This window comes from Homo sapiens, chromosome 13 (genome assembly GCF_000001405.40).
Source record: "Homo sapiens chromosome 13, GRCh38.p14 Primary Assembly".
In the NCBI taxonomy this organism is placed as follows: Eukaryota; Metazoa; Chordata; class Mammalia; order Primates; family Hominidae; genus Homo; species Homo sapiens.
This window is the reverse complement of record NC_000013.11, coordinates 25827646-25846101: the sequence shown is the minus strand read 5'-3', so window position 1 is coordinate 25846101 and position 18456 is coordinate 25827646. Positions and strand designations below refer to the sequence as shown.

The 18456-nt window shown below is 41.8% G+C and overlaps 1 protein-coding gene across 10 annotated transcripts in view; it reads right to left on the bottom strand.

Annotated features, from left to right (window-relative positions):
* The window catches only part of ATP8A2 (ATPase phospholipid transporting 8A2), a 653878-nt gene that overhangs the window by 179750 nt on the left and 455672 nt on the right, over nt 1-18456 (bottom strand). For 8 of the 10 annotated variants that reach the window (NM_016529.6, NM_001411006.1, XM_011535107.4 and 5 more), the window contains 3 exons: nt 17910-17984; nt 8817-8939; nt 6478-6556 (listed from right to left, as the gene is read on the bottom strand). In NM_016529.6, the coding sequence (NP_057613.4) occupies nt 6478-6556; nt 8817-8939; nt 17910-17984 (277 nt within the window). The remainder of the gene's footprint in view (nt 1-6477; nt 6557-8816; nt 8940-17909; nt 17985-18456) is intronic. The other 2 variants (NM_001411005.1, NM_001313741.1) reach the window with 1 other exon arrangement.

Genomic DNA, 18456 nt, shown 5'->3' with positions numbered 1-18456 from the left:
CCAGTTCAAGCAATTCTCCTGCCTCAGCCTCCCAAGTAGCTGGGGTTACAGGCATGCGCCACCAAGCCCAGCCAATTTTTGTATTTTTAGTAGAGATGGGGTTTCACCATGTTGGTCAGGCTGGTCTTGAACTCCTGACCTCAGGTGATCTGCCTGCCTCGGCCTCCCAAAGTGCTGGGATTACAGGCATGAGCCACCGTGCCCAGCCACTCTTTTATCTTTTTACAAAAATGAGTGAATAATTGAGTTTAAGAAGTTGCAGTCTCAGAGAACACTGGCAATCTTGCCCAAATTTAGCTTAATGTGAAACAACGCAAGTCTCAGGATTTATATGGTATGAAACACTCAAGTTTTCAGTAATAAAGTAAGGGTCAGAAATAGTTTAAACTAATATGACCCAAGAATGCCAGGGGAAAAGAGAGTCACACTGAGTTTTATTTTATACACGTGCACTACTATTTCAGTATACAAAACATGGCTGATCTTACAGGAGCAAATTTATTAAAAATTATAAAATAGACTTCTCCAAAAATGTCGAAAGGCCCAGTTGCGTAATTAGTACCCATACATAAGAATCCGTATGGTATTCTCCTTAAACGGTGAGGGAGCAGTTTCTACGGTGTGGACTCTGGGGAATCAAGAACAAATGTTTTTAGGAGCTCTTTTCTTTTGTTAAGCATAGTCTCTTTCCCATCACCTCCCTCTTAAATTTCATCAAGAAAAATCTGAATACTTCCTTTTTTAAAATCAAGACCGATTTTGTATTATTTTGCCAATAACCACATTACACTTCAAGGAGGGTTGCTCAACTCTGCCGACTGGACATGCCAACAGGAAACCCGGGTGTGGGCTGACACCAGGGCTCCTGATGGACTTGGGTCCCTGTGAAGGTGACATCCTAGGTCTAACCTAGCATCGCTTTCCAGATCAAAGGCGAGGAGCTGCAGGCAGACCATGGCAGTAAGTGTATGGCTGTGATGGTTGGAAGAAATCTGATTTACTGAATTGCTTGAGTGGAAAAATTTATTTTGAAATTTGAAATGAATCATCACAAACTCCATCAGCAAAGGAGTGCTTTGAAAAGTCTCTCCAAAACCACATGAAAATAAGCAAAGCAAAATTCTTGGAAGCATTCTAGGGAATGAACGATATACCTTCTCAAAATATTTCTTCCCAAGAAGAAGTGTGCTTCTGTTGCCTTGCCCAAAGTGAACACTGTTGATATATACCTGAGGTTCTCTCCATAGATGGTGGAGGCAGAATTTTCTAGTAAAACCTCCTGTCTTTGTGACATCATCCATAAGGTATCAAGTGGGAAATGAAACTACTCTAGGGACTTCAGCCCCCGGTCAAACAAAACTCCTCTGGGGCTCTGGGTGTGGGTGGCCATCTGAGGGATGGCTTCAGGCAGCTCTTGCAGGAGGGGAGAGTCCTGAAGGCACCCCTCTGTTAGACCAAGGGCCCCCAGCTTTGACAGTGCCCTAGTTTGTCTCAAATTGGTGCCATGTTCCTATGCCTCTTTGGGGGTGGGGAGGATATACATTCTCCTAAATGACAATTAAGAGTGTAATAAGGCCAGGTGCATTGGCTCACACCTGTAATCCCAGCCCTTTGGGAAGCCGAGGTGGGCAGATCACGAGGTCAGGAGTTCGAGACCAGCCTGGCCAACAGGGTGAAACCCCATCTCTACTAAAAATACAAAAATTAGCCGGGCATGGTGGCATGAGCCTGTAATTCCAGCTACTCAGGAGGCTGAGGCAGGAGAATCACTTGAACATGGGAGGTGGAGATTTCAGTGAGCCGAGATCGTGCTCCTGCACTCCAGCCTGGGAGACAGAATGGGACTCTGTCTCAAAAAAAAAAAAGTGTAATAAGAATTCACTTGTACTCAGGACAGCAAATCAGCACACATAAACAAGTCCTCCAGTCAGCTGACATATCCTGGTCCTCTGGTGCTTACAGTCTTTATCCCTGCCACTCCCATCCCTACCAAAAAAATCCCTGCCACCCCCAGTCCCACTAAAATAATTCCCATGGCCTCAGTGGCTCAGGTCCTGTGCAACCGCATGGTCCTGGCATACTCTTGCCAGATCCTATGTGTTTCTCTACAGAGCAGTCTTAATCTTCTTTACAGGCAAATCTCATCACAAAACTCTCCTACCTCCAACCCTGCCCTGAGAAAAAGTCCCCCCCTCCGCCAGGTGTTAGTGATCAGATCCTCTCTCAAGTATTTGTTCCCTTTTCCAGCCCCTACCTCCTCTCTATGCTGTAGTCGTCTTGACTAGGGGTGGTTGTCCACTACAAGGGGGATGCTAGAAATATGTAGAGATGTGTTTTGATTGATACTTCCAGAAGGATAGGGAAAGGAGGAGAGGGAGTGTCTTAGTTCTTTCGGCTGACTATAACAAAATACTATAAACTGCATGGATTATAACCCCTGGAAATTCATTTCTTATAGTTCTGGAGCCTGCGAAGTCCAAGATCAAGGAAGTGGCAGTTGTGGTGTCAGGTGAGGGCCCATTCCTCATAGGTGATGTCTTCTAGCTATATTCCCACATAGTGGAAGGGGCAAATGAGCTCTCTAGGGTCCTTTTTATAGGTACACTAATCCCATTCCTGAGAGATCCGCCCTCACGACCTAATCACCTCCCAGAGGCCCTATGTTGTATACCATCACCTTACAGTTTGAGGTTTTGACATATGAATTGGGCGGGGGGGGCATGAGCAGTCAGATTACAGTAGGAGGTTACTGTTTTTTCCAGTCTGGGGCAGGAATGCCCAGTGTCCCGAGCCTCTCACCAGAGGCTGACAGAGTTCAGAGTCCAGGCACCCCCAGTCCCACTAAAACACTTCCTATGGCCTCAGCAGCTCAGGTCCTGTGCACCTGCAAGGTCCTGGCCAGGAATGTTCCTTCTCCCAACCATGCCCCACATCTCCCTTGTCCCATGTGACCACCCCCTACTCCTCTTTCAAGAGGGAAGCCTCCAGAGGGCAGGAGAGGCAGTGCCTGGCTTGCTGATATCTATATTCACTGTGCCCTCAGAGAGCCTCTTACCTTGTAGATACACCACAATCTCAGCAAACAAAGAAGCTCCTTTCAAAACACCCTCTCCAAACACTATCCCATTCCTGGGTTTAACCCTCCCTAAGCTGTCCCCTGGAATCTCTGCCAGTAGTTTTCTTTCTACCGCTCACCTTACAAGACATGACAGGTTTATTTTCCCAAATTGCCCTGATCATAAAATTCTAGATCTAAATTCTACACTGACCCTTCAATGCCTAAACAGTTAAGTCCCAGTTTCTTTCCTTCTTTCTTCTTTTTCCCTCCTTCTTTCCTTCCAACCTTCCTTCCTTCCTTCCTTCTTCCTTTCCCTCCCTTCCTTCCTTCCTTCTTTCCTTTTCTTTTCTTTTTCTTTCTTTCTTTTTTTTTTTGACAGAGTTTTGCTTTTTGGCCCAGGCTGGAGTGCAGTGGCACGATCTTGGCTCACTGCAACCTCCACCTCCCGGGTTCAAGCGATTCTGCTGCCTCAGCCTCCCATGTAGCTGGGATTATAGGTGCCTGCCACCACACCCAGCTAATTTTAGTATTTTTAGTAGAGACGGGGTTTTACCATGTTGGCCAGGCTGGTCTCGAACTGATGTCAGGTGATCCACCCACCTCTGCCTCCCAAAGTTTTGGGATTATAGGCGTGAGACACCACGCCCAGCCACATCCCAGTTTCTTAACCTCATACTCAAAGCCCTCTGTAATTCAGCTTTTATCTGCCTTCCTAAATTTCCCCATCTTTCACCTTTCAGCTGCTCAGTTTTCCACACCTGTCCTGATTTCCCCACTTTGCTTGATTCTTCCTTCTGCTGGATTTCATGGCTAAACTTAAATATTACCTCCCCTAGGAAGCTATTAATAACTCCAAATGAAAGGCATCTCTCAGTCCTCTGATATCTAATAGCATTTTATCTATGGTTTACTTGAAACAGCTATTTTTTACCTTGTACTGGAGTTATTCATTTGCAAATCTGCTCTGGTTTGAATGCAGCCCGCAAAGCTCATGTGTTGAAAGTTTGATCTCCAATGCAGTGGTGCTGGGAGCTGTGGCCTGATAGGAGGTGTTTGGGTCATGGGGGCGCCACCCTCATGAATAAATTAATGCTGTTGTCACTGGCATGGGTTCCTTCCTTCTCTCTCTACCCCATATCCTTCCACCATGGGATGACACATCAAGTAGGTCCTAACAAGAAGCCAGCTCCCTGACCTGGGACTTCCCAGCCTCCAGAATCATGAGCCAAATACATTTCTGTTCACTATAAATTACCCAGTCTATGGTGCTCTTATAGCAGCACAAAATGGACTAAGACAAAATCTAATCTCCCTTTCCATACTACAAACTCTTTGAAGGTGAGACCGACATTGATATATCTACTGTCACCCTTAGAATCTACCACAGTGTCTTGAACATAACAGGAATAAGGTTAATGAACAATAATATAATGATTTTTTTCTCTGTACTAACAGTGAGAATTTAGAAATTAATTATAAAATATTCAATTTGTTAGGGGAAGTCAACTAATGACCAAGAACACCAATGTCCCTCTGTTGTTCTGATACACTTAATATTTGCAATTTACTTCACTTTACACAGTTTCACTCAATAGATTATTGTTTGCAACACAACTCAAAGAAAACCCCTATGCTGAAGGCTCAATAAATACAATGAAATAATGACATTGATGATGATGGTGATAATAAAAAGAGGAAAAAAGCATCCTATTGGCTGCCTGCCAGGTAATTTGCCAAATTTGGAGGAATTAGATAAGGATAGCACTAATTTAAAATTCATTTGGTGCTGTCTCTTAGGTAAGTTAGCAACTGCTGGGAGTCTACATCCTTTTAAATACTGACCATGGTAGGTGAATGAATGGACTTACATAATGGAATCTGGTTAAACTATAGCAATTTCACCACAAACCACAAGGCACCAACTGAACGTATATGATCATAATTCCAGGATTAGAAAACCATCGTCTCCACTGCAGAACAGCCACACTAGTTCCTTTTGAAGCAGGTAAGTAAATGACCATCTTGTAAAGCTTCTGAGAGTCAAAAGGCAAGCAATTCTGAGTTAGGAACACAGTAGGATGTCTAGATAAGAAGTGGTAAGGGGTCTTCAGAGAGTACTTGTGGCTAGTTCATGCTATTTGCAGACTCTTCTTAAGTACCAAAGCCTGGGCTCAGGTATGGAGGATAATTGCTCAAATTTCTCTTATGCTCATCAGACATACCATTTCCCATCACTAATCCTTCCTGCTACAATGATGGCTGAGTCTGTCACCAAAATATCACAGCCTCTGAAACAAAATCACATCCCAAACTCTTATACGTATACACTCTTATTTATAAAACCATTTTAAAATAAATTAAATCCACTGAGTAAAGATGAATCACAAGAAGGGTTTCAAGTTAAAAGAAAATGATTTCACTGGAATGCTCTTTTTTGGGGTGGGGCTAGAAAGCATAAAATTGTATTCTCTGATTTAAAGACTTATGAACCCTCGAAGGAAAAGGAGTTCTGATGAAATTGAAAGACTATATCACGTGGCATAAGAAAATGGCAGTGCATGCATTTTCTCTGTCAGTATTTAATAGGTTAAAGAATATCAGTGAGGATGAATCATTTCTGTTTGAAGCATAAAACTCACTGACACAGAAACAAAGACGCTTGGAAACTTTATATTCTTTGGTTCTTTGAACAATAAAGGGCCTTGTCTAGTCAACATTTGGAGTAATTTTTCCCAGGGGGATTATTACTATTTGAGAGGGATGAAAGAGTAGCATTCTCATGATACATTTGTATTTTCTGAGAATAAAAATATGTCTCTTTAGGAGGCCACGTTCTGGATGTGTTAAGAAGTGTGAAAAAACGCCGAGTCTGCCACAGTTCTCAGACATCCTCTTCTAGCTGTAAAGACAAACACCAATCTGGAGAATTAGTTCTCAAACTCTAATTTCAAAAGGCGTACATCAAGGACAGGACACTCTTTCAGAAAGCTAGGAATAAGATTCAAATCTTATAAGATTTGAGTTATTCTGCATATGGGTAGGGGAGGCTCAGAAATAAAAGTCAAAGTAATTAAAAGAGAATTTCAAACCACGGACAAAAAGCATCAACATTTCATTACAGTACAGGGCTTTCCTTGAAGATCTCTGACTCAAATAGTTTTTAAAACTGAGTTGAGTATTCCTAGTACTCAAACTATCCAGTCAACTGGAAAGAAAATGGGTTCTCAAGGCCAGAACTGATGAAACCTAACAGCTATAAACCTGGGACTAGCTCTCATTATGCTTTAGGTATGTTTTTCCTCTAAAATGTGTTCCTGTGATCTCTTGTTCTGCAGAACTGGAAAAAAAAATTGTGAACACACAGGCAGCAGAGCGGCTGCAAAGCTCCTTGCTGACAGGTGAAATCACACAGCCCTTACCATGCTCCAGAGCTTTCATGGGAAACCAGAAGAGGATGAGGGAGTGGACCAAGGCGTTGATGCAGTGACCCCAGAAAACCTAAGGAAAAACAAACCAAGGGAGTCAGGAGCTGCCCAAAACGCTTGACCTCTGTGAAACTCTCAACAAACGCCACATTGTGAAGGATCCTGGCCGTGCGCTGCACGGTTCCAGGAGTAGCATATTATTCTTGAATTTGAAAAAAAAAAAACCCACCCAAATCGATTATTTAATTTTTACATACAAATGACTGGATTATCTCCAGATCATATTACTTTAGTTACAAAGACCTAAATATCTACTCACATGTATGCAGACCAACACAATCTATCCACATGTGAAAAATTCACTCTGATCAGTTTTCTTTAGCATTGTAAGAGAGACAACACCATTTTACAAACATCCAGAAAAAGGGTACTAGGTCAAAATTGTTAAGAAGAGACTAAAACTGTGTCTCTTCTTAACAATTAAACTGTGTCGGGGCAGATGGGATGTCTTAAAAGCACTGAAAACATTCCACTTGTAACTTTTTACATGGCATTCTCACTCTTTTGTTTTACTACTTCAAATCCCTCTCACTCAACTTCTTCTTTTATTTTTGGGATTTTAGATAACATGCATATTTGAAAATTCTCTTTATTTTAATGTTTAAAGGTCAGAAAAAAGAACACAAGGTTTAGTTTATTCTAAACTTTAGTTTCACTAATACATCGCAATCATTGTTTTAACCACCGTGATGACAGAGTTATTAACTATTAGAAATCACCTGTCTTCTGCGTTGCTCACGCTGGGAGCTGTAGACCAGAGCTATTCCTATTCGGCCATCTTGGCTGCCCCCCTCGAGTTATTAACTATTAAAGCCAGATTAAATTTATTTAAACCTCTACAAGTTGTCCCTGGAAATTATCATATAGTTTGAGCCTAAGTAGTGGTAAGACAACAGAAAATAGTGAAAAATGTTATAAGACAATGGAATTTTCCCCTGCTTTAAATGTTCATTTTGCACCATCTCTGACCTCTCTACTTAAAAAAAAAAAAAAAATTCTTCAAAGTGCCTGCAGATAAGTTTCCGTGCATTCTCAGCTCTTACTTACTTCCCACCTCAAATGGCCTTTGAATTCAAATTCTGTAGAAAATGGATTTATGTAAATAATGCAGTGAAAATGGGTCATATTTTCCCATTAACGGAATCACAGTCAACAAGGATTGGTAAAATGAGTCCCTCGGGTCTCTTTGGATGTGGGAGACGGTAGAACCAATAAGGAGCCCTTCTGTTTCTTCCCTGCCTCGGATGTAACTAGTGAGCCTCCCCAGAAAAAAGCAGCTGTAAGGGACGTCAGGAACATCTGGCTCAGAAGAAAGGCCCTGGGAGACTGTTCTCTCCTTGAGGCCTGGAGAGGTGACTCCCTGTGTCCTTCTCACTGACGGCCCAGGAACCATGCACGCAAATCATGACCGCCACCAGCACACAGCACAGGAGGTGAACTGTGCAACAGACCTCTGTCTAAACTTCTGAATCCCCCCTGCGCAAAGACCAGAGGCAGAAACAAGGCCGTGCAGCCATGCTCACATCTCGCCCCTCTGTGCCCAGGCACACATCTCCCTTTTCTTTGGATGGGGTCACCCAAGCACTCTGCCACATTCAGCCGCAAATGACATCTGTGTGGCAGACCCCTCTGCTGTCTGAGACTGCACGACCCCTTTAACACCCCACCCAGCTTTGGCGCGGGTTTGTCAGGATCACCTATATCTTTCTTTTTTTTATTTTTTTTTGGTTCCTTTCTGATTCTCTGGTCCAGAAAAACAAAACCAAATCCCCTGCAACTCATGTGATCCCTGAGTTCATATCTAGTCAATTTTACGCACTAGCTAAAGACACATTTTATTTCAAATGACAAACCCAGCAACAGCTAGGTAAGCTGCCAACAGGCCTCCACATGGGGCTGCAGGACCACGCAAGGGGGATCTCTGACAGCGGATCCTGAACCTGGGCTGTGGGAACTGCTGCCCACACTGATGTCAGGGGCTGACGGGGAGAAGCGGGAAGGAGTCAGCATGCTGGGACTGGAGGTTGCAGCCCACACAGCATGGACCCGTCACCTGAGAAGGCGTCTTGAATTCACTGGGTTTGTGGCGTGTGTGTGTGTGTGTGTGTGTGTGTGTGTGTGTGTGTGTGTGTGTGGTGGTGGGGTGAGTGGATCATGTTTTCAGCACTTCTCAAATGTTCTTTCTCAAGCTTCAACTATCTCCTAGGCAGATGACTAGAATCAAACAGCCACGCCTTTCTGAGGTGACAGTTCTGAGATCACACTCTGTTTACCTTTGTGTTGAAGCCTTCGCCATTCTGGGTGATTTTGTAGAGCTGGGGAAACCTGAGCATGCTCTCCTGAGTGCAAGACCTCTCAAAGATTCCCAGAGTGAAGGGCGGCAAAGCGGTGAAAATCTGCAGGGAGAACAATGAGCCATTAAAAGCAGCCCTTCGGATCCACACGGCTTCATTGTTCCCTTCTACCAAATGATGACTTCACTTCCAGTCAAGTCCAAACCTGAGACTCCATGATTCACAGATCCCCAGACACCCTCCAAACAAAGGAAATAAATGAAAGACCATTTTTACGTTAATCACTATCAAATGAATACACTGAACACTAAAAACATCATACATTATCTGATTAGCCAAGATTTCTTGTTAAATTAGCAACTACCTTCCTTTGTAAAACGAAGACTGATGTGGAATCATGCCACAGTTAGCTGTCTGAAGTGTTGCTTTGTTTTCTGCTCACGCTAGCTGACGTAAAATTTACAACTTTCCACCCTGACGTTATACTCAAATTTCAGGAAGCATAATGTACTTCATCCATTTATTCATTCAACAGACATTTACAATAAACAAATTATGGGCTAGATACTGTGATAAGCACCAGGAATGGAGAGATTTACAAACAGAAGAAAGAAGGAAAGGAATTAGGACCTCCAGGAACGCCATCTACTGCAGAAGTGGAGGAGGGCAGTGGGGCAACAGGCATAGAGGTAAATATACAAAACGCGGAGCTCTGCAAAACTATTAATACCTGTTAGGGGAGGACGCAGAAGGAGAAGGGAGAGTCACCAAAGGATTCTTGCACCAAAGAGTATCTGACCTGCAAGGTATTAGACCAACATGATTTGGCAAGATGACAGGGATGTGGGCGAGGAAGGAGTCCCATGAGAGATGCACCCCTTACAAAGCTCTGAGACATCAGCATGCCTGTTTGGAGGTGTTGAACAACGTTTATAGGAGGCCACTGTTTGGACTGAGCTCCTGCACTCGGCCCCAGCAGACCTGACCAAACCAAAATGGAGTTACTTGTGCTAAGAGCTGTGTCATCAAACTAAACTTTGAAACAGGCCAGTTTTCCAAAAACAAACAAACAAACAAACAAACAAACAAACAAACAAAAAACAGGAGATTCACAGCAACCAGTTTACCTAGGCACCAGAAAGGGCCCAGTTTACCTGAGGCAGCATGATACAGAAGTCCCCTGTTTGAACTCTGTAAAGAAAGCCACTTTGAAACAACCAATCACTTTTTGTTCTACTTCTGTTTCCTTAGTCCCTTTCTGCCTATAAAGCTGGCCTCCTCTGCTCAGCTCATCGGAGCACTCATTCTGTTTCATGAAATGAGATGTTACCCAATTCCAGAATGGCTAATAAAAGCCAATTCGATCTTTAAATTGTTGTCATTTAAAGGACGAGGAACTTTCTAAGATACACAGGATGGTGGCTGGCTGAGGGTGCGGTGTAAGGCAAGGATAGGAAGGAGACCAGACCAAACAATCTCCAGTGACAATGAGTTCTTGGGCAGATGGTGCCTTGCAAGACTTGTGACTTTCACCTGTACTCACATTTGTATATTAGAAAAATCAAGCAGGAGCTGAAGAAGGTGCTTGGAAGAAACATGTCATTTTAACTCAGGACATGTTGGCCCTGAGGGTCCTTCTCCTGCTTGGTTCTGGGAATGGTTCACACAGCCTGGGTCACTTGCTGCTGAGCGTCCCTCAAATCCCCACCCACAAACCCAGCAAGCTCTCAGGCCTGTGGGAATTGGACGTGTGTCTGTACGAGAATTCTGAACTCACACTAGCTATTTGGAGATGGAGTATATGGCCAGAGGAAGCTGTTCCCAAGTCTATTGGGAGCAGGCAATCAGATGTGTGGTGAGTAGAGTCAGTAAAACTCTCACACTCTTCCTTCAGTCCACAGCAGAATGGAAAGCAGCCCTGGGATTTCAATGTGCTACAAAGACTTCAAGGAGAAATCCACAGGGGACTTGTTGCACTCACTTTCCTCACAACAACAAAAATTGTTTGTTTTATAGCTGGACAGAGCTTCTACCAGAAGCCAGGAGCCATGCACACTTTCTTAGTACATACTCTCACCTCCATTGCTCTGCATCCATGTGTACATGTGATGTCATGCCTGCTGTTTACGTGGCAGTCTTTTTCTTTTTTTAAACTTGAGCTTCTCCTTCTACCCATCTTCAGATTCTCCCCTGCCCTTCATCACCATGCTATAATGAAGCCCAGCATGCCTACATATTTTCCACTCTGCCTATACCATACTACACACACACACACACACACGTTAGGGATCATAATTTGTTTCATAAAACGTTGACACTGGCCAGTCATGTAGCTCCTGCCTGCAATCCTAGCACTTTGGGAGGCCAAGACAGGAGTTCGAGACCAGCTTGTGCAACACACCAAGACCCTGTCTCAATTTCACAGAACACACCAAGAGAGTGTGTGCCTGTAGTCCCAGCTACTTGGGAAGCTGAGGTGAAAGGGCTGCTCCAGCCCAGGAGGTTGAGGCTGCAGTGAGCTATGATTGCACCACTGCATTCCAGCCTGGGCCACAGAGTGAGACCCTGTCTCCTGCCAACCAAAAAGGTAGACATTATACTTTACACACATTTTTCTTCATCATGCTTTTCTTGCTAAACAATACATTACAGAAAGCCCCCCAAAGCCCTTGGGTTTGATGGTAATGCAGTCTTTTAATGGTCACATAATAATTCATAGTATGGATGTGCCATTTTTTTTAGCCATTCACCCACTGACAGACATTCATTTTCTTTCCAGTTCTTTGTTACCACAAACATTATGTAATACATATCTATACTATATTATAACATACAGACTTTTTCTTTTATCTCTATGGGAAGAAGGCCCAGCAGGAGAGTTAAAAGGATACATGCATTTTTAATTTTACTAGATTCTGCCTTTCAAAGGATTTTGAAAGCATTTTCCTCTCCCATTGCAAAAGAAAATCATAGATTTTTCGCTATTTCCCTATCAGCAATGGTTGTTACATTGGTCTTTTAATGTTCTCCAGTCTTAAAAATTAAAGATGTTACTTCTTACTTTAAAAAGCTGCATTTCCCCAACTACCAGTGAGTTTGAGCATGTTTTCATACAATTGTTGGTTATCTGGATTTGCAGTTCTGTGAAATGTCTACTCATGTCTTTTGTCTACTTCTTACTTTAAAAAGCTGCAATTCCCCAACTATCAGTGAGTTTGAGCAGGTTTTCATACATTTGCTGGCTATCTGCATTTGCAGTTCTGTGAAATGTCTACTCATGTCTTTTGTCTACTTTCTATCCATGGCTTATCCTCTTTTTAAAGAGTTCTTTGAGTAGAACAGATATCAACCCTGTCTTTATATTATGAAATTTCATGCAAATGCACTCTTTGTCTATTGGTTTTTTAAATGGGTTCTTTTGCCATATAAAAGCTTTTAATATTTAAATGGCCAAGAAATGCTTCTGCATGTCCAATTGCGGCTACAGAAGTTACTCTTCCATGAAAAGTACATGTTTCCAGGAGTGTCTTGTAGGATTTTACTATTTTATTTTCCACATTTAAGTCTTTAATATATCTGGAATTAATTTTTCTATATAGGAGTCCATTTTATTCCAGATAAAGAGCCAATTGTGATAACATAATTAATGAGGCCAAACTTTCCCCACTACATTGAAAGATCACCTTTAAGGCTAATCAAATTTTCATGTATTACACATCTGACTCTAGAATGGGAATGTAGTTCTAGAATCTCCAACTTATTTGTCAATAACAGTGATTTGGTTATGGTGGCTTCATAGTATAGTCTGATATTTAGTAAAAATAAGTCTACTTTTATGTTCTTTTTTTGAGCATGCTTTACATATTTATTCTCAGATATGTGTAAATTCCATTTATATTTTAATATAACTTTATGCAACTTCCCCCTTTCCTCCCAAAACATTCACCTGTTGGGATTGAGTCTATGTGGAATCATATATATTTATATTAATTTTAGAAGAGTTGAATCTTTTATGATACTAAGTCTTCCCATACAAGAAAATAGTATGCTTTTCCATTTGTTCAATAAGACTTTTAAAAATGTAGGTACTGTAAACATTTTTCCTATGCAATGTATAATTTTAATTGCTTTTTTGAAAGAATTCGTACTTCCTTTGCATTTCTAGGTGTCCACTGCTAGAGAAAAAAAAAAGCTGTTTATTGCTAGGCTAGAAAAAGGCTATTGATTTTAAAAATATATTTATCATTTATCTGGTCACTTTATCAAATTCTCTTATAATTCGAGTATTTATCTACTGTTTTTTCTTTTGTTTTCTAGATACACAATCATATATGAACATATTTACATTACCATATTTCTGTGAGCATATGTGTATACGTACAGAAATTGTTCACTGTTTTCCCAATATTTGTAATCTTCTTTGCAGTTGCCGAAAACATGAAAACAATGAATTATATAGTGATGGCAGGCATCTTGATTAATTTCTTATTTTAAATGAAACCGTTTCAGAATTTTACCATTTTGGGCAGCATGCTACTGGTTTTTGTAAATGGTCTGAATTCTGGTTAAATGGCTTTTTTCTGTTTCTATTTTATTTAGAGTTCTTATTTTGGGAATGGCAGCTGAATTGCTTCAAACGTTTTTGTAGCATCTGCTGATGGGATCATGTTTTTCTTATTTTCTTGATATAGTGATATTTAGAAAGATATTTAATTTCAAGACTCCTGTATCCCCAAAATAAATCTTACTTTGTCACATACTTTTTCTTTTAATATATTATTGGACTCCATTTGCCAATATTTTACGTAGAATTTTTGTATTTATGTTTATAAGTGAGACTGGCCTACAGTTTTCTTCCTCAAACGATGCTGGCTTGACAACAGGATTCATTTTCTGCAAGTGGTCAAATAATACTAGAGTGTTCTCTGCATTATAAAAGACATAAAATTTAGCTGAAATCCATTTGATCCTAGCAGCATTGGTCCTTCGTGGTATTTTTAGTCTCATTCTACCCACAAAACAAAATGAGCCAGGCACAGTGGCTCACGCCTGTAATTCCAGCACTCTGGGGGGCCGAGGCAGGCAGATCACCTGAGGTCAGGAGTTCAAGACCAGCCTGGCCATGGTGAAACCCCGTCTCTATTAAAAATACAGAAAATTTGCCAGGCGTGGTGGTGCGCACCTGTAATCCTGGCTACTCGGGAGGCTGAGGCAGGAGAATTGCTTGAACCCGGGAGGCAGAGGTTGCAGTGAGCCAAGATTGCGCCATTGCACTCCAGCCTGGGCAACAGGAGTGAAACTCTGTCTCAAAAAAAATAAAAAAAAATAAAGAAATTGACTATGGATATAATGAAAATCTTCTGGGACAGCATTCATTCATTACTTAGGAAGAAGCCTGTTTCTTGTTGTTATTGTTGTTTTTGAGACAGAGTCTTGCTCTGTTGCCCAGGCTAGAGTGCAGTGGTGTGATCTCAGCTTACTGCAACCTCCGCCTCCCGGGTTCAAGCAATTCTCCTGTCTCAGCCTCCCAAGTAGCTGGGATTACAGGTGCACACCGTCACGCCCAGCTAATGTTTGTACTTTTAGTAGGGATGAGGTTTCACCATGTTGGCCAGGCTGGTCTCGAACTCTTGACCTCAGGTGATCCACCTGCTTCAGCCTCCCAAAGTGCCGGGATTATAGGTGTGAGCCAACACGCCCGGCCTCAAGTCTGTTTTAATGCTATTAACTTGTTATGAAAATTAGTTTGAGAGGCTGAGTGTGGTGGCTCATGCCTGTAATCCCAGAACTTTGGGAGGCCAAGGCGGGTGGAACACGAGTTCAGGAGATTGAGACCATCCTGGCTAACACAGTGAAACCTCATCTCTACTAAAAATACAAAAATTAGCCGGGCGCGGTGGCGGGCGACTGTAATCCCAGCTACTTGGGAGGCTGAGGCAGGAGAATGGCGTGAACCCGGGAGGTGGAACTTGCAGTGAGCTGAGATTGCACCACTGCACTCCAGCCCGGGCAACAGAGCTAGACTCCATCTCAAAAAAAAAAAAAAAAGAAAATTAGTTTGAGGAACAACGACTTGCTACTTTAGCTGACTTGCGGAATCAAACAAAGAGTACATTTAGAAGAAAAAGCAGGAGAGAAATACTGCATGAAGAAAATGACAGCGGAGAACCCAGCCCAGAAGAGGAGGATCACTAGCAAATGCCTTCCACATCACAAATGTTCTCTTGCAGGCAGTCTCTAGAATGATCCTGGACTGGAAAAGTTGCTAAATAGGGCATTATTGGAGCAAGAATAGCAAAACTGGAATATGGATTAAGATGAATTAGATAATAGTATTAAATCCATGTTAAATGTTTCAGATTTGATCATTATACTTCGGTTGTATAAGAGGAAGCTCTTGCTACTATTGACTAAAGTGTTAAGCAGGAAAGCGACATGATGTTTGTAATACCCCACTGGGTCAGAAATAAATGCATTCACTAGTGTGTGCATGAGTGTAGGCATGTGTGCATGCGTACAAGTATGGAGAAAGAGAATGCAATTGGTGGAAATGCTAATTACTGTTCAATCTGGGTGAAGGGTAAATAGTAGTTCTTTGTACCTTTTTTGTAACTTTTCTCTATATTTCTATTTATTTTATACAAATGTCACCAAAACAATTTTCATGGGGGCAAATCTCCATGTTCCCAGAAGGTTTGGCCCCTCCAGTATGAGCAAGTCCAGAGCCCAGTGGCACATTGGAGTTCACCTGGCAGATCCTTGACCATTCCATCCCAACTGCCAGCACTCACTGGCAGCCCACTTCAATGCCTGCACTGTGGACTCAGTGGTAACCTAGACCCTTTCACCTTGAAATACACTTTTCTATCACAGTGTACTCTCTGTATAGTTTAGGGGACAGAAAAACTGCATAAAATATAATCTCAACCCTAGGGTCATGCATAACAATAACTAGAAAAGTTTGCGGCTCATGACTATAATCCTACCACTTTGGGAGGCCTAGGAGGGAGGACTGCTTGAGCCCAGGAGTTTGAGACCAATCTGGGCAACATGGCGAGACCCCATTTCCACAAAAAAAATGTTTTTTAATTAGCTGGCTGTGGTGGCATTTGCCCATGGTCCCAGCTACTAAGGAGGCTGAGGTGGGAGGATTGCTTGAGCCAGGGAGGTCAAGGATACAGTGAGTAGTGATGGCACCACTGCACTCCAGCCTGGGTGACAGAACAAGACCCAGTCTCAAAAAAAAAAAAAAAATTGCAAAAACTGCAATATGTCTGAGATTCTCTTTGTTAATCTGGGGTGGGGCTCAGGAATCTGCATTTTTCAAATAAACCCTAGTTATTCTCCTGCAAATGGTCTGTGGGCCTTATTTTGACCAACACTGCCCTCTAGCCTGTCAGCATCTTATCTGTAGTAGGCACTCAATAAAATCTGTTGGATTAATTTGAATTGGCCAAGACTGCATGGAGCTAAGAAAAGAATCCAGCCCTCATGCCCTGAGCATAGAAATCAAGCTAAAATCCACTCATACTATAAGCAGGTGATATATATATATATATATATATATATATATATATATATATATATATATATATACCACACCTGTCCTTGGCTCTACAACAAAATCTCTCCTAGGTCTCAGCATTTTGTTTCTAAAATAGGGATGTGGCATGTGTTTGTGTGAAGTGTCAGCTCCATTGATACCTGACCCTTTCAAGCACTGAATAATCGTGGAGCATTCTGCATATTTCCCCGAAATGGTTGCATAGCTTTAACCTACTTAAAATAGTTTCAGGAGGTACAGAGTTAGCAATCTGTGATCTCCCCTTAGTACACAAAGGGGAGGCCCTGGAGCCCCCATCCATGGGTAGGTAGTCAGAGTAGCTTTTTTAGCACAGGAGGGAATGGACATCAATTCTGTCCTGTTCTTACCACTCCTAATCTTTGTCTTTTAGGGCATCAGTATCAGGAGGAAATGTGCTAGTGACTTTGCAGCAAGTTAACACAGTTACTGACTCACCAACACAATTTCAACTCAAGATCTGGACCCAGTCCTCCTTGGAGGTGTCTGAATCCACACATTTGACCCTCTTAACCTGCAAGCTACACAGGGCCAGGGCAAACTACTGCATTCAGCATTTTACATCAGCACCCAGCACTGAGGTTATTCAATAAAGGGGGGTGAAAGCATGGAAGACTTAAATATCTAGCCACCAGTGGATTTATAGCACCATAGGTTTTATTATTGTATGTCTGGTAACTTCCATCTACATTTATTTATGATGGCTGCTTCAGAATGTAAATTCCCACGGAGCAGAGTTAGGATTGAAGGCAAGTGAGAGAACAACTCAAAAAATGGGCCATTCTAGGGTCTCTAGAGTGCTCTACATGCCCCTTAGTTCTTCCTGCCAGTGAAACAAAAAGCAAGAAAGCTAAGCAGCTACTGAGCCATTTTAGCTACAGTTTATATTTATTTCTAGCTTCTGAATTCATCATAGTTATAAAAAGTAATAAAAAAGGAACTTGAAAATCATAAAAAATACCAGATGAGCTGATTACCATCCTCCACAGTAGCTGGAAGTCAGAATTCATTATTTTAGCTCTAACTGCAGAAGAAAATGTTCTTCCACAAGGACAGATACCCTTTCAGGAAGGACAGAACGGACACCAGATCACACACTGTACATTTGTATCTATGTTTAAGAATTCAGAACAAAAATAATGAAGCGGAATGAGTTTAGGTGTAGTTCAGAAATTTGTACTTGAGCTAAAAACACGAAAGTGTTGCACAGGCATGTAGTAAGGGGGTAACAAGGGTCTATTATCAAGATATATGGGTTAATAATTTCAAGGGGTTATTCAGGAATGATCTGCTATGATTGAAACCATGTGTGGAGAGTTTGGGCTTCTGCAGGATGTTTCACAGCAACAAAGGGCCCAAAGATGTATTTGTGCTGCCTGCTAAGTATACAGATGATTGACTCAGATACACTTCCCAGACATAAACAGTGAAGGAATGTCACTGAAGTTCTAAGTTCTGCATGCTATCAGATAGAGATGAAGAATGCTTACCACATTGTACAGGCCGATGCACCAACGTTCAAATAAAATCTGCCCAGAAAATCCATTAACAAAGGCGAACCAAAGCTGAAAGAGAAGAAAGCTCATGAAGTTTTATATCAATATTGACCTAAATGTTTCCATTCACTGAAGAAGTAGCGGGAATGTGGACCACCAGCTGGACACAGCTGCTAAGGAATCATGAGCCACAGGGACTGCAGCAGTTGTTCCTTTATAAAACATAGATTCCCGATATCACAGAAATCCATATTGTAAGGAAAATTTATATTTAAGGCATACATCTACTTTCAGAGATAATATGCACATGTTCATAGAAAAATAGATTTAATTTGCATTTAATAGGTTTGGTATCAAAACTTTCTCATTGACTGGAGGAGTCTCAGCTTCACACTCTTGTTTTTCTCTAAAGTTGATTTGAGAAATACGATGTGTCTTTGCCGGACTTTCAAAGAGATATAAATCATAAATTAAAAACAACAACAAAAAGTCCTCTGTTCTGTGTGTTCTGAGTTCATAAATTATTGACCCTCCTTAATCA